This window comes from Homo sapiens, chromosome 10 (assembly GCF_000001405.40).
Source record: "Homo sapiens chromosome 10, GRCh38.p14 Primary Assembly".
Taxonomy (NCBI): Eukaryota; Metazoa; Chordata; class Mammalia; order Primates; family Hominidae; genus Homo; species Homo sapiens.
Window position 1 is genome coordinate 55555031 of NC_000010.11, and position 16398 is coordinate 55571428.

Sequence of the window (16398 nt, forward strand, 5' to 3'; positions counted from 1 at the left end):
CTATTTGAAGAAAATCAGTATTTCCATAATTAATAAAGTAATTTTCTGTTTTGAAGACATTTTAAAATGATACATTAAAACAATCTTTGGGATCATAGAAGCTATTTCTAAACCAATTAAAATTATTACCAGTAACTACTATTTTAAGAAATCACTCTATGCTGAGTGTTTCAAGTCCACTTAATCCTCACAATGATTAAAAAAGATAGATCAGCTTATCCCTATCTTCAAAGCAGATGAAAAAATGGGCTCTTCAATTATATAATTTTCCCTTGTTCAAAAGCTCATCAGTAGAGCTGAGCCCTAAAGCTGCTTACTTCTGATTTCAACTACATCACCCAGTATTTTCAATATAAGAAAGCCGTTTTATTTTCTCTCAAAGTTCTTCTGCTTCTCCAATACTTAAAAATTCATTTAATCCTGCATTTATACGGATATCTTTCCCAGCTAATGGGCAATGGTTATGTGGTGTAGTTTTCCTCCTGGATAAATGTTTTATTATTCTCTAGAGATGCCTCTTCTCAATTTTTGACTTAAAGAAGGAGAAACAAGTAAGTGAAGACCACTTATTTTACACGGACTAGATTTAAAATTAATTATTAAGGAGAAATGTAACTATAGATGTAGAAAATATCCTATCTTTGAACTTCTGCAATCTTTGAATGACATGTTAGAAGTAATGAGGGTGCTTAGTGGATTTTTTTTCCTTTTAAGTGATTTTAAAGTATAGTCTAAAATGTACATGCATAGAAAATTAATAAAAATAATATGAAGAACACCAGAGAATCTGCCATACAGATGATGAATAAAATTATTAAAAACATATTTCAATGGCTCTCCATAGTCGCATTATTTTTCCTCCCCACAATTTGCCTGACATCATCCAAAGAAATCACTTCCAGTGTTTGTTCATTATCATTCAGATACCTTTTTTACTAGTTTTGCTTTATACTTAATGTATTCTAAAATATATTTTTTGCATATTTCAAACTTCTTTAAATAAGCTTCTTTAAATGTTCTAAATCTGACACTTTTTCTTTTTCTCTCTCTCCATATATACACACACTATAGCTCTAGATTATTAATTTTTATTTGTTGTTTATAATTACACCATAATTTATTTATTGGCCTAGTGGTGTTTATAATTACACCGTTACTTATTTATTGCCCTAGTGGTGAACACTTAGGCTTTTCCAAATTTTTGATAAGACATGTAATAATGACATGCTATAATGAAAAATATTACACATGTCATCTGGTTTTCATAGAAGACAGTTGCTTTGGGCCCTAAGATTTACATTAAAGAATGGAACTCCTGGGATATCTATTGCTGCATATCTTTGCCTCTACCATATATTGTGAACCTGCTCTTCAAGATGCTTATGCCAAATCATGCTGCTAATGGAAGTGGAAAATCCTATTGGTTTCTGATACTATATGCTTTTCCCCAAAACTTGCAACTATGAGATTGTTTTAATCTTATTTTTTGTAGACTGGGTTTAAAAGTTATTTACATTGGGCCAGGAGTGGTGGCTCACACCTGTAATCCCAGCATTTTGGGAAGCCAAGGTGGGCTGATCACTTAAGGTCCGGAGTTTGAGATCAGCCTGGCCAATATGGTGAAACCCTGTCCCGCAAAGAAAAAAAAAGGTACAAAAATTATTTGGATGTGGTGGCGCGTGTGCGTGCAATCCCAGCTACTTGGGAGGCTGAGGCAGGAGAATCGCTTGGACCCGGGAGGCAAATTATGAAGTGAGCCTAGATCGCACCACTGTACTCTATCGTGGGAGACTGTGTCTCAAAAACAAAACAAAACAAAAAAGTTTTTTACATTTTTCTTAACAACTAGTAAAGTTGAATATTCAATCATAATTTATTAATCATGTGTATTTGTGTATTTGCTCTTTATTGAATGTGTTTTCACATTGTTTGACCAATTGGCAGAGGGAAGGTTTCTTCACCTTATTGATTTTTATGAGTTCTCTGTATATTCTGGTGACTATCTCTCTGCTGCTTACATTTTGTGCAAACACATTCTTTAGCATTCCTGTTCACAATTGTACCAGTTTTAATATAGCCAAACTTATCTATCTTTTAATGTCTTCTGCTTTTAATCTGCAATATTTAGCACTAAAATACAAACCTAGTTGCAATATATTTTTATACATCTTTGATTTGATTTGCTGAAACATTTAAGTTTATTGAGTGAACACCCATAAGCAGATTGATCTGTAAACTTCTTTTATCATATTTTCATAACATAATAAGACTATTAGACTTGTAGAGTTTGTTTTAGATTATTCACTAATTTTTACTTTTCTGGAAAATATTGTGATATTAGGCTATGTGATCAGAACTGGTTACCATAAACTGGATTTGGTCAAAATCAACAAGTTAAATGTAGGGCTGCCATTATAAGCCAGAAGTGAATTCCATTATAAGCCAGAAGTGATGAATTCAAGATCATGCAGAAGTAGAATCAGAGAACACAAATAAACTGCATGAGACGATAGCCCCCTTGTCATCTCTCATTATCTTACTATGGCTTTTGCCTCATCTCAGGCTTTCATTCATTAGGGTTACCTTATGACCAAGTAATGGAGGTGAAAAAAAAGGCCCAGCTAGCTTAATAGATGGGTTTGCTTAATATGGGTTTCAGAGTAATGAAGGATTGCTGCTATCTTAAAGCCAAATCAATAGTGATCCCGAAGGACAGAAGTCAGAAAAATTTTCCCCATGGACACTCACTACTTCATTCATGTTTTCTGAAAAGAGGAAAGAACCGAGGTAAGAAAATACACTGACATATGGAAGTGGTAAAGAGTTTGGAGGTTTACTTAGTGGTCTGGGTATACAGAGATTAAAGGGGAGAGAAAGAGCATTGGGGAAAACCTATTTGATGGACTTATAGAAATATCAATAAGTTATGAAGACTCTTTAATCTCGTGTTAATGCTAACTAAATAATATTCACCATGGAGAGGGCACTAGACAACCAAGTAGATAAAATGACTATGCCAACTGACATCTGCTAACCTCTGTCATTAGATGGCCTAGTGCTGGCATAATAGATGCCTCAGTGAAGAGACTGTGGTAGCAGAGATGGAGGCTAATCCAGACTCCACAGCATGGGCTTCTGTTCACCAGGGCTGATTTCTTTATAGCCACTGCTTATTATATATTCTGACAGCCACAGAAACAAACGCTGGACACCTCACTTGGCACTATAGTTTGAGAGGATCAATCACTTTCTTGGGGACAAGTTGATGATATTGTGATCATCTTATTTTTAAAGAAGAAATAATTTGTCTGGATTGGAATTGACTCACATGATGGGTATGGGTTTGGTTTGCTTTTATGTCTGCAGGTGTTTAGCTACAACTTCTATCTAAGACCTTCAGAGTGCTTGAGCTGCTGAACAAGATCCTGCGCAATACTGCATTAACTCAAAGAACTCATTTTACATCTAATTTTTATTTTATATGAAAGTAATTCTCAGGGAATTGTTTTAAAACAACTGCAGAATATTTTATTTATAAAAATAATGTATAATGCCTATGCATACAATTAGTGTGCATTACAAAAGTACTTATTTATTAGCTTTATACAATTTTTAAACCAAACACTATACATAACATTATCTAGCATTGCCATAAATTTGTTTTAAACTTGTTAAAATGATACAGAATATAACTCAAATGACCTAGTAATATCATATGTTTCTATTCTCAGAATTTCCCCCTCACAGATTCCTGAAATGTTTTTCTTTCCATTTTACCTACCTTAAATAGAGGTAGTCTTTTAGTATTGCCTATAATGTATTTGTTATTTTTGTTGTTAGCATTTTAATTGAAGTGTAATACATGTACAGATACGTGAAAAAATATTATTGGTATAAATAAATCATCACAAAGTGAAAACATTTATGTAATCCCCACACAGGTAAATAAATAAATAACATTAACAGTTCTCTAGAAGTCTCCCTTATGTCACCTCCCAGTGCCAACTCTCTATCCAGACTCTATAACCATAGATTTCTTGTAAGCTTGCAGGTGTTATAACAGTATTTCATTCCTGATTATGGCCCTACACTTCCACCTTACATCTCACACAGCACTTTGTAAGGCACATCACAGATGATCAGGTAGGACAAATACCATGTCCCAAATAGAACCAAATGTATACCAATATAGTCGATGGGCCTATTATTACTCTAAATTAATAATAAAAAATATCATATAGTTATTCAAACTTCACATTGAATAACAGCTTTTTAATTTTGAAAAGAAGTGTTGTATAACAACTTTTGTTACATTAATATAATCAAAATACAGTGTAGTAGAGTTTTATTTTTAAAGAAGGATAATATGTAGAGACAATGATAAACTATTTTCAAAAGCAAATCATATGTGGCCATTATAAATGACAAGCACTATAAGGCTAGCTGCGGAATATTAGCATGTCATATGTGAGAAATGAATAAAATGATGTCATGGAGAATAGTATCGGAGCATTATTTACTTTATCACAAGTAAAGATAGTTAATAGGTTTGTTTTTACTAGTTTTAAAGTAGACCACTGATATTGAAATGTAAAAATTGTGTTCCATGTTAATGCAATACAAATAATTCTCACTAGAAAAAAAAATCCTAGAGTTGAATTTTCTTTTTTTTCATGGAGAAAGTTAACTGAACCAAAATTTCTGCCAGCAGAATTCAGTCTTACACATGTAGATGTGAAAGTGTGCATCTCCTCTCAACACAGCTTTCTTCAGTAATGACAGAATTTTTCCTAATAAAGAAAAATGTTTTTCAACATCCTGTAGAGTTCTCTTTACATAATATTTCAAAGTACCAAAAGACTCTTACAAACACTGTACTTTCCAATGATCACTAAAAAGGTCTCCAAATGCCACCATAGGAAAACTATTAAACAGGCAGTGATTATACGCCTAGACTCATACAACACTGTAGGCCATTAAGGACAAACCATTTTCCAATGCATTTAAGAGTTATATTAAAATAAATTCATGTGAACTTTCTACTCTCCTCCTTCAAATGTTTACAGACAAACATGTCGTATCATTTGTAAAATGGCCTGCCACATTTAGAAATTTGAATTAAATTTCTGTAATAATTTAGGTCCAGGAAAAAATGTATAGTGATTTTCCCCTCAGCCAGTAGAGGACATAATGAAGGAAAAAATGCAGGAAGATGGCCAGAACACAAAGCAGCACTTGATATGCACAATATTTTACAATCCAGTATTCTTAGACTGGGAATGCTTGATGTTTTTTCCAACATTGTGAATGGACTTATCACACCCAATAACATCCTTCATACCTTTGCACATCAATGAATTTGGTTATTTTCCTTCTGTCTTGGTTGTCCAATAGTGATTGCCTTAATTGATAGTGAATTAAAATTATCTGTGGAGCTTTAAAAAATATGTTCCTGAGTAACATACTGAGAAATTCTGACCCGTAATTCTATACTGAAACTTAGGAAATCCCAGATGATTATGACACCATATATCCAAAAGTAAGCATTTTGAAAGCACTAAAACCTTCAACACTTATCAAAACACAGTGAATTGTCATCTGTAAATCAATTCAGTAATGAAAAAGAGTAATGTCACCATGTAATATCAATGATCTTCAAACTTTCTCTTTTGTTGACATTGTATTTATTACTCACATTTCCACTTTCAAGTCCTGTGACATATCTGCAAGCTGTATTCCAGTGCCATTAATTAATATATCCTTTTTAGCCAATGATGTTAGATTTTTGGGCTATTAATAGATAAAGACTAACATGTAAATATAAATAAGGGAAATATAACATATAAATAAGGGAAACAGGAAAATAAAGAGTAACTTTTGTTGCAAAAATTTCACAAATGCAAGTCAAATTTCACAATTTTATTTTAAGTATTAAGAAATATGCCTTCTTTGGTGAAAATTATTTTCAAAACAAATTCAATAATTCATTTAAGATACTCTGGGAAGGTTATTTAGAAATGTTCTGGAGACAAAAGAGAATATATATTTTAAAAATAACTCAGGTGTTATCTAGGGAGTAACCTGAAAAATACTTTCACAGAACAAAGGTTAAGAAATTAATCTTCAGAAAGAAATTCAGGTAAAAGTACATGTCTAAAAAGACCTTTGAAAACTGGGAAGTTAACAACTTTTCACATCACTAAACATTTTATATAAACTTATTTTATTATAGCCAGATTAGAAACATACAGGCTACAGTTTTCAAAACTAGATTAATGTGAAACCCTTGGATTTTTAGGAAAATTAGTCTGTTTTTCTACTATCACAGCAAACAAAACTTTGTCATCATAAGTGCTTAAGAATTAGCTGGAATAGCTAGAATGTATTTATCCAAAAGTTGTCTGTATTTAAACTTTTGAACATGATAGGACAATAAAAATTGTTTATGAATGATAATAATATTTTTTCAGGTGTCTTAACTATAGTCTTTGAAAGAGTACAATTCCAAAATAGTATGATGTGAGGGCTGATGATAAGATGTTCCTGTTCCCAAATAGGCCTCTTAATCCACTTAGTACATAAATAGATTACATGAAGAGAGTACCACATGTTTGCCTTAAGACAAACATCTTACCTGGTACATTTTAAAACTAAGTATTTCAAGGAAATACCAGAGTAAACCTGTGGAAAGAGGAGAGCAGCCTGTTTTTCCAAGAGGCCAATAACTGACACTTTTCAAATTTCTTGAATTTGGATTCATTTTGGGGAGAATAGAAAAAAGAAAGTAGCATGGTTAGTAAAATAAGAAAAGAACCCAATATTATTAACAGTCATAACATTTGCTAGTAATAGAGACTGCCCCAGTTTAAAATTGATTTTTCAATTAAAATATTAAATGTCGTTTTATGATTTTTTAGTCTGGGAGGCAAGTCAGGAGACTTTTATTAATAGTCATTAACTGACAAAGCTTCTACAGTTGTGCTTTTTATTTAATATAACACATTAACCACAGACATCCTTTGATTTTCTGTCATATTTTCAATTCTCTGTCTGTACACGTTGTCTCAAGAGTAGCAACATTTGTGAATTTATTTTACAATTCATGATTTTGTCAGCATTTTAAGGGCTTACTGTTCCAAGGGGACATTATAACAAAGCACTGAAGAACACAGAACTTCAGTTTAGCTGGAAATTTATATTGGAATACCATTGTTGTCCCTTATTTACTGATTTATACACTGTTCATCAGTGAAATTGAAATAAGATTAGCTATTTTATACAGTTATTATAAGGATGAATTCAATTAGTTTTGAAATATTGGAAATATATGTATTTGATATAAAAACTTGTATATATTATTTTAAAAATATTTATTCATAATAGTTTAAAACTTTTGTTTAGCCTAATCTAACGTCATTTTCCAGAAAATAAATGTGAGGCATCATGTTCAGTAAAATGTGTAGAATCAAACTGACTGTATAAACCCAGCTTTGTCACTTAGTTGAGAAATGTGTCGTACATCTATAAACTCCAGTGTCCACGTGGCATACCTGAGCATACCAAGTCCTTGCTGAGATATGTAATTAAAAGATATGAAATCAATGCTCAGGAGTATGCAGGCACCCAAACAATAGTCATTAACTATTTATGTGATATTTAGAAGTTAAAATTGAAATGACTTTGTGAGAAATGATACGTGTGGGGAAAAGAGAAGGATGTATAAATTTTGGTTTACATAACTGGATAGACAGTGATGTCATTCACGGAAACATTGTGAAAGAGTCTGGTTTACAGAATTCTGGGAAGATGATGGAAAAGCAAGCACTGGAAATCTCTTTACACATAAGTAATAATTACACTGGCAAAATCTCTCTGATACAACTCTTTTGGAATTCTTGAATTTAGTGAAACTTACAAATTCCAGGAGAAAGCATGGATAATAAATTTTAGTTAATTTCAGCCGTTAGCTTAGGAGCAACTATCTATCCCCACCCTCAACCCCAAGACAGGGAGCTGTGCACGTATTTCTGCTGCAGCTTGCCTCTAGCTTGCAAAAACTACCATGAGCAAAAAGGACCACATCCTTCGGTTATCAAGGATCTGTGCTGTCATGGTTGATTGCTGCTTCTGAGCACAATGGTAGAGACAAAAAGGTGGTAGCCATTGTTTTTGCACTCCCTTCTTTTCTAAAACCCACTCTTCCTGGCTAAGGTGACTTCCAGGAGATTTAAAAGGCTGTTTGTCCCCCTACATTTTTCCTTTACCCCTTTGAGAAGTCAAACATTAAAGAATAGTATATTTCCAGAGCAACTGCATACATGAGGGAAATTAGAAAGTTTCAGTGTATCATCAAGAAATGGTGCAGGTTCATGAAATACTAATAAAAGTCTTTAAGTTTACAACTCAGGCCGATCTTCAGCACAGACACAGCCTGCAACAATATAAACAAAATAATAACAAAAACAGCAAGCCCTGGGGAAGGGAGAAAATCTGATTTCAAGATTTACCATTTAATTAAATTCAGATGTCCAGTTTTCAACAAATAATCACGAGGCACACACAGGAACAAGAAAGTATGGCTCATTTAAAGAAAACAGATAAAGCAAAATAGAGTCACCGAGAAAGACTTGATGGTAGATCTACTACATAAATACTTTAAAATAACCATTATAATGGTGTCCAAAAAACTAAAGGAAAGCATACAGAAAGTCAAGGAAACGATGAACAAAATGAAAATATCAATAGAGACAGAAAGGCTAAAAATGAACAAAAAAAATCAGGAGCTGAAAATTACCACTGAATGAAAATTCCATAACCTATCCCCCAGAGAATATATAAATTATTCTCATACATAAACTAAGGTAGTTCATTAACCGCTATAAATGCTCAAGGAATCCTGCAGCTTAAAATAAAAGGACATTAGATAGTAACTCAAAGCTATATGAATAAGTATATATCTCAGTAAAGGTAAACGCATGGACAATATAAAAGCTAGTATTATTGTAACATTGGTTTGTAACTTCATTTTTTATTTTCCACAGACTTCAAGAGACTAATATATTAAACAATTATTAGTCTAAAGTTCCCATTATTATAACTTTGGTTTGTACATCTACATTTTGTTTTATACATAATAGAGAATACTAATATATTTAAAATGATTATGTTTTTGAATGCACAATGTATAGACATAATTTTGTGACATTAATAACTAAAAAAATGTGAATGAAGATGTTATAGGAGCTGAGTTTTTGTATATTATTGAGCTTTTGCTAATATACATTCAAATTAGAGTATTATAATTTTAGAGTGTTGGCGGTTAATACTCATGGTACCCACAAAGAAAATAATTATAGAATATACATTAAAAAACGTATGAAAGGAATTTAAATTTTCACTACAAAATATAAATTCAATACTAAAAAAGCTACAAGGCATCTAGAAAATAAATAACAAAATGACAGTTACAGTTATCTTCTTATTAACAATTACTTTAATTTTAAATAGCAAAGCCCTTCAAACAAAAGACTGATACTGGCAGCATGGATTATGGCCATGATCCAACTATATACTGTCTAAAAGAGACTCACTCTATATCTGAATACACAAACAGATTGAAAGTGAAAGGATAGAAAAAGACGCTCCATGTAAACAGTAACCATAAGAGTACTGGGGTGGTTATATTAATACCAGATAAAATAGACTTTAAATAACTGTTAAAAGGCTGCAAGAGTCAAAGGAGGACATAATATATTAATAAAAGGTTCAATATTCCAAGAAGCTATAATAAATATCAACATGTACATAACAGACTATTAGAAGGAAATTTTGATATAAATGAAGGAAAAATAAATAGTTCTACAATAATAATTGAAGACTTCAAAATCTACCCTTAGTAATGGATAAACCAATCAGAAGATAAGTAAAGAAATAAATAACAATAGAGGACTTAAAAAACACAATAAACCAACAAGATGTAAGAGATATTTACAGAATATTCTACCCCACAACAGAATATGCATTCTTCTCAAGTGCACATGGAATGTTTTCCAGGACGGATTATGTGTTAGGCCACAAATTACATCTCAATAGGTTTAAAAGATATCATACAAAGTATCTTTGCCAACTACAACAAAATTAAGTTAGAAATTAGTAACAAAAGAAAAAGTGGAAAAATCAAAAAATATGTGGAAATTAAACATGTATTTCTAAATTACCAATTGATCAAAGAAGAAATAACAGGGGAACTGTACAAGTATTTCGAAATAAATGAAAACTAAATCACAACATGCCAAAATTTATGAGACATAGAAAAAGCAGCGCTAAGAGAGAAATGTATAGCTATAAATGCTTACATTTAAAAGTAAGAAATATTTTCTTTTAATTTAGAAAAAGACATATCTCAAATCAACCACTTTACAACTTAAACCAGAAAAACAAACTGAAGGCAAGAAGAAGAAAGAAGATAATAAAGACTAGAGCAGAGATAGACAAAATAGATGATAGAAAAACAATGAAACCAAAAGTTGGTTGTTTGAAAAGATCAACAACGTTAGTAAACTTTTAGCTAGACGGACTAAGAGAAAAAGAAGACTCAAATTACTACAATGAGAAATGAAAATGGTGACTTTGCTATCAATTCTACAGAAATAAAATGGACTATAAGAGAGTACTATGAAAACTTGTATGCCTAGAAATCTAATTACATATGAAATGGAAAAATTCCTAGAGATATAAAACTTACCAACACTAAATAATGATAAAATTAAAAATGTAAATAGACTGATACCTACTAAGGAGACTGAACCACTAATAAAATATCTCCTGACAACAAAAGCCCTGGACCTGATGGCATCACCAGTGAATTCGATAAAACATTTAAAGAACTAGCATCAATCTTTTTCAAACTTTTCCAAAAATGCTGTCATGAGGGAACATTTCCAAAACTCATTCTATAAGACATCATTACCCTAATACCATAGACGTATCCTTTATAAACACTGATGCAAAAATCCTCAAAAAATTTCTAGCAAAACAAGTTATTAAGCAGCAGATTAAAATGATTACAGACCGCAAGCAAAAGAGATTTATTAATATTAATGGAAATCAAAGATATTTCAACATACAAAAATTGTTAAATGTAATATACCATATTAACAATGAAGGGTAAGAATCACATGGTTATCTCAATTGATGCATAAATAGCATTTGGCAAAATTTTATACCCTTTCGTGATTTAAAAAAAACACTCAACAAAGTAGAAATATAAGGAAACCACCTTAACCTAATAAAAAAATTCATATATAAAAGTCCCATATAAAACATCATAGTCAATCGTGAAAAACTTAAGAGTTTTCCCTCTGTGATAAGCAACAAGGCAAGGAAGTCTGAGCTTACTACTATTCAATATAGTACTAAAAGATCTGGCTAGAAAAAAATATGAAAGGAAAAGAAAAATAAAAGGCATAAAATTGGAAAGGAAGAAGTCAAATTATCTTTGTTTACAGAGAATATAATCTTATTTATAGAAAACGCTGAAAATTCCACTAAAATAGTAGAACCAATAAATTAAGTCACCACATAAAAATCAAGTGCATATCTATACAATAACAAAGAATAATCCAAAAACAAAATTAATAAAATAATTTAATTTGCAATAGCATCAAAAATATAAACTATTTTTATTTAACCAAGAAAATAAAAGACCTGTCTTATAAAAGCTACAAAACATTCCAAAAGAAATTAAAGAATATAAAAATGAATGGAAAGGCATCTCATATTCATGATTGGAAGACTTAACATTGTTATAATGTCAACACCACAGATTCAATGCAAATCTATAGACTTAACGCAATCCCTATCAAAATCCCAATGATGCCTTAAAGCAGAAATACAAAAAACTCATCCTAAAATTCATAGGAATTTCAAGAGACTCCAAATAGCTAAATTGATCCTAGAAAAGAACAAGCTAGAGCACTCAGACTCCTGATTTCCAAACTTACTATAAAGCTACAGTAATCAAAACATTGTGGTACTGGCATAAAGACAGACATATGGACCGGTGTAATAGGAAAGGTTGCCTAGAAGTAAAGTCTCACATGTATGGTCAAATGATTTTCAATTACGGTGTCAAGAGTATTCAATGGGGAAAAGGCAGTATTTTCAATAAATGTTGCAGGGAAAATTAGATATCCATATGCAAAATAATAAAGTTGGATCCTTACTTAACACCATATACAAAAATTTAGTCAAAATGGATCCATGACCTAAATGGAAGGCCTAAAACTATAAACTCTTACAAGAAAGATAAGTTTTAATACTTCAGATTTGGCAATATTTTTTAATAAGACACCTGACATTCACAAAACAAAATTAAAAAGAGGCAAACGGGCTTCACAAAAAGTAAAAAAAAAAAAGAAGATGAAATAAAAATGCATGCATCAAAAGAAAATTATAACTACAGTAAAAGGCAATTTACCTAATGGAAGAAAATATTTGCAGAACATATATCTAGTAAAGGATTAATATTCAGAATATACAGAGCACTCCTAAAGCTCAATAACAAAAAACAAGCAACCTGATTCAAAAATGGTCAAAATACTTGAATAGACATTTATCCAAAGAAGATATACAAATGGCAAATAAACACTTGAAAACATGCTCAACATCACTAATCATTAGGAAAATGCAAATAAAAACTACAATGAGATTATTTTGTAGTTCATAAGCGCGATGACTGGGTGTTCACACACAGGTGCAAGTTGTGCCACCCTCGAAACTTGTTACACCGTTGGCACATTACCCATCAGACATGAAAAAAAAAACTACAATGAGATACCAGCCCATACCCATTTAGGATGGAAGCTATCAAAATAAAACAGAAAATAATAATTTGGTAAGAATGGAGAGAACATAAAACCCTTGTGCACTGTTAGTGGGAATAAATATAAAATGGTAAAACTGTTGTGAAAAATAATATGGTGAATCATCAAAAATTCAACATGAAATTACCATATGATTCTGCAATTCCATTTCTAGGTATGTACCCAATAGTTTCTTAAATATGTATTTTATACCCATGTTGTTAATAGCATTACTAATAATAGCTAAAATTTAGAAGCAACTCAAGAGTCTATCAAGAGTAGAACGGATAAGCAAAATGTGGTTTTTGTATACAACAGAATATTATTCAACCTTAAGAAGGGAGGAAATGCTAATATATGCTACAACATGTGTGAACCTTGAGGGCGTTATATCAAGTAAAATAAGCCACTCACAGAGAGGCAAATACTCTATTATTCGACTTATATGAGGTACTCAGTGTAGTCAAAATCCTCAGAACAGACAGTGAAATAATGGTTGCCAGGTGCTAATGGAGGGAAAATTTTTCAGTTTTAAAGATTGTAAGAGTTCTGGAGATTGACAATAATGACGACTGAACAATAATATAAATGTGATTAATGATAATTACATTATGTGTATTTTTACCAAAATACAAAATTGGAGAATATAAACAAATAAGAATAAATAAATAAAAAAACAAATCAAACAAAAACCCTGGCTTAAAAGAACAGAATTATGAGTTTGGCTTTGAACAAGCTAATTTGACATGTTATCGGGACTTCCAAAAGAGGATTCAAGTATCTAATGAAATATAGTTAATTTAATGCCACTTATTGCTATTGTCATTCACAGATTCCACACTCAGAAGTTGGAACAGAAAATGTAATTTTTTGAGTCATCTGCACAGATCCTTGATCACTAGGGATGCTCTGGAGATAGAACAGCCTCACGTTATTCATCATTGAGCAAAGATACCCAGGTCTTAAAGCCATGTCCTCGCTGCATCTGTCACTGCATGCAGGATTCTGGGAGGGGTAACTTTGAGCAAGGCAGCTGTGTGATGCTAGTTGAAATCTCTGAGAGAGGGAATGGTGGAGAGAGTGGTGTTGCTGAGAGCGAAAGAATGTTTGCAGAAAGCACTCCCTAATGCTGGGACAACATGTCCTCCTTTGAAGAGGCAATAAGGCGACAAATCACTTTGTCCACAATTCTAGTTATGCATCACCACATCTACCGTACTCCCATGTAATATGTTTAACTTGGTCCCTCCTAAGCTACTAATGACCTGGATCTATAAGATATACATTTAAGAATGACTACCATAAATATTCATTTAAAAGAAGTATATGGTTTATGGACCATGAAGATATTAAAATTACCTATGCAATAAGATGCTTCAGTACTTTCAAAAGTATCAAACAAGATGTGATAGACCTTTACTGCAGATGGAAATGCAGCAAGATAAACCTTTAGCTTTCCAGGTCATATATAAGCATCTGTTATAAGTTCCCTATATTTAGTGTTATGCTCATCCATACTCTGTCCACTTCTAGGACAACAAAGGGCAAAAAGTGTTCATTTATTCAGGTGTGGAAAGGTTAATTACTCAAAAAATAAATTTTAAAAACAATCAAAACAAACAGAAATTTCCAAATTGTATCAAATACTCAGAGAACTCATCCTTGATTTTTCAAAGAATTTTCTAAAAAAAAAAACCAGAAACAATAATTTCAAATGAAACATCATGATGAGAATATCTTCAGAATATTTTACTCTGTTTCTAAGGAAATGTGGGTGAGTCCTACATTACTGAAAGTGGTCTTCGTTTTCTCCAAATATGCTATTTTCAGAAATAAGAAAACGTAAAGCTCAGTAAAACACTGTAATAAAAAGTATGATATTTAATGTAAACTCATTCAGAGTAATCGTGTGAACATGGTTCTATTTCTGTCTATGTCTATACATCATCACCCTAATGCCAGTAAATTTATTTTAAACTAAATATTGGTCTCCTGAGGCAGAGGTAATACAATAATAATAATTTAGAAAAAAATTTACATTTTAACACTGCCACTTTTTCATAATAGTGCTATTTTTCCCTACATAATGCAAAAACACAGACAAATCCAAAAAGCATATTTGTGCCTTAAATTGGGGCAAAATAGAGCTTTTTTTTCTCAAACATGGGATAGTAAGAAGAGCTTTCATCTTAAATTCTTACAGTTAGTTGAATTGTTTACACCAACATTGCATTTTTATAAATAGCTTCTCTTTGTTTCTTAAAAATACTAGAATTTCATGTTGCATTTTTTGACAGCTTTATCGTCTGTAATAGTCATGTTTAGAAAAGACCTGGCAGGTGAACAAATACAGCCAACAAGAAGTAGAAAGACAAACATTATTAAGAGGTTTTTGACAATTTTTACAGAGAAAAATATTTTATAAAAGACAACCCTGTTCACATTTTAGAGCTAGTCTTCATAAGTGTCTAATACAACACTGGATGATTGTAGGCATAGTTTTTCACTTAAGTATTAATAGAAATAATTTATTACTAAAATATTCATTTATTTTTAAATTTAAGTTAGAAAGAAGTTTGCTGCTTTCTGATATGAAATTTTGAAGCTCAGGAACCAATTTTTTTTCTTTGAGAACACATCTCTGAAATTACAGTGTCAGTCAATGAGAAATATGGCTTGATATTCAAAGAGCATAAAATCTGATTTATATATGACTTTTAAGAATGTCTTCTTGTATAAAGTAATATATATTTACTTATTCTATGAATGCAGTGATTTATACTATACTGCAGGATTTACTATGAGATATTTATCATATCTTTGCCTATATACATAAAGGCAAAGTGGAAAATGTTTTCAAATGCTATTGATTTCCATCCAGACTTAATGAAAAGCCTGACCTTCTGAAAACAGACTTATTATCACTACTTCCTTATTAGCTGTTATACACTATTTCTTCTTTCAAGTGTTATCGTCTGTTTAGCTTGGCATTAGCAAAGGCAATAATCATTACTTTTAGTTGTTCCCCATGTTAAAACTTTTTTAAGGCCACTATCATAAAAGCAATATCAAAAGCAAAATTCCCTAAATATAGAATATAGTTTGGATGTTTTCTCCCCTCCAAATCTCATGTTGAACTGTGATCCCCAGGTCCGTTGAAGGTGGGTCCTGTTGGGAGGTGTTTGGATCATGGCAGGTGGCTCCCTCATGAATACCTTCGTGCCTTCCCTGCAGTAATGAGTTCATGTGAGAGTTGGTTTTTAAAGGGCCTGACACTTCACCACTCACTCTCTTGCTCTCTCTTTTGCCATGTGATGCACAGGCTCCCACTTTGCCTTTCACCATGATTGGAAGTTTCCTGAGGCCTCACCAGGAGCAGATACTGGCACTATATTTCTTATACAGCCTGTAGAACTGTGAGCTAAATAAACCCCTTATCTTTATAAATTATGCAGTCTCAGGTATTCCTTACAGAAACTCAAATGGACTAACACAATATTTTTAATGGAAAGAAATGTGAATGGCTTTATGAGCA

The 16398-nt window shown here is 31.9% G+C and overlaps 1 protein-coding gene and 1 non-coding gene across 2 annotated transcripts in view; one reads left to right on the forward strand and one right to left on the reverse strand.

Annotated features, from left to right (window-relative positions):
- The window catches only part of PCDH15 (protocadherin related 15), a 1825172-nt gene that overhangs the window by 1752260 nt on the left and 56514 nt on the right, over positions 1-16398 (reverse strand). The gene's annotated exons all lie outside the window — the stretch shown is intronic.
- Positions 12709-12812, forward strand: LOC124902580 (small nucleolar RNA U13). Its single transcript, XR_007062413.1, has one exon. It is a non-coding gene; the product is annotated as a small nucleolar RNA U13 (small nucleolar RNA).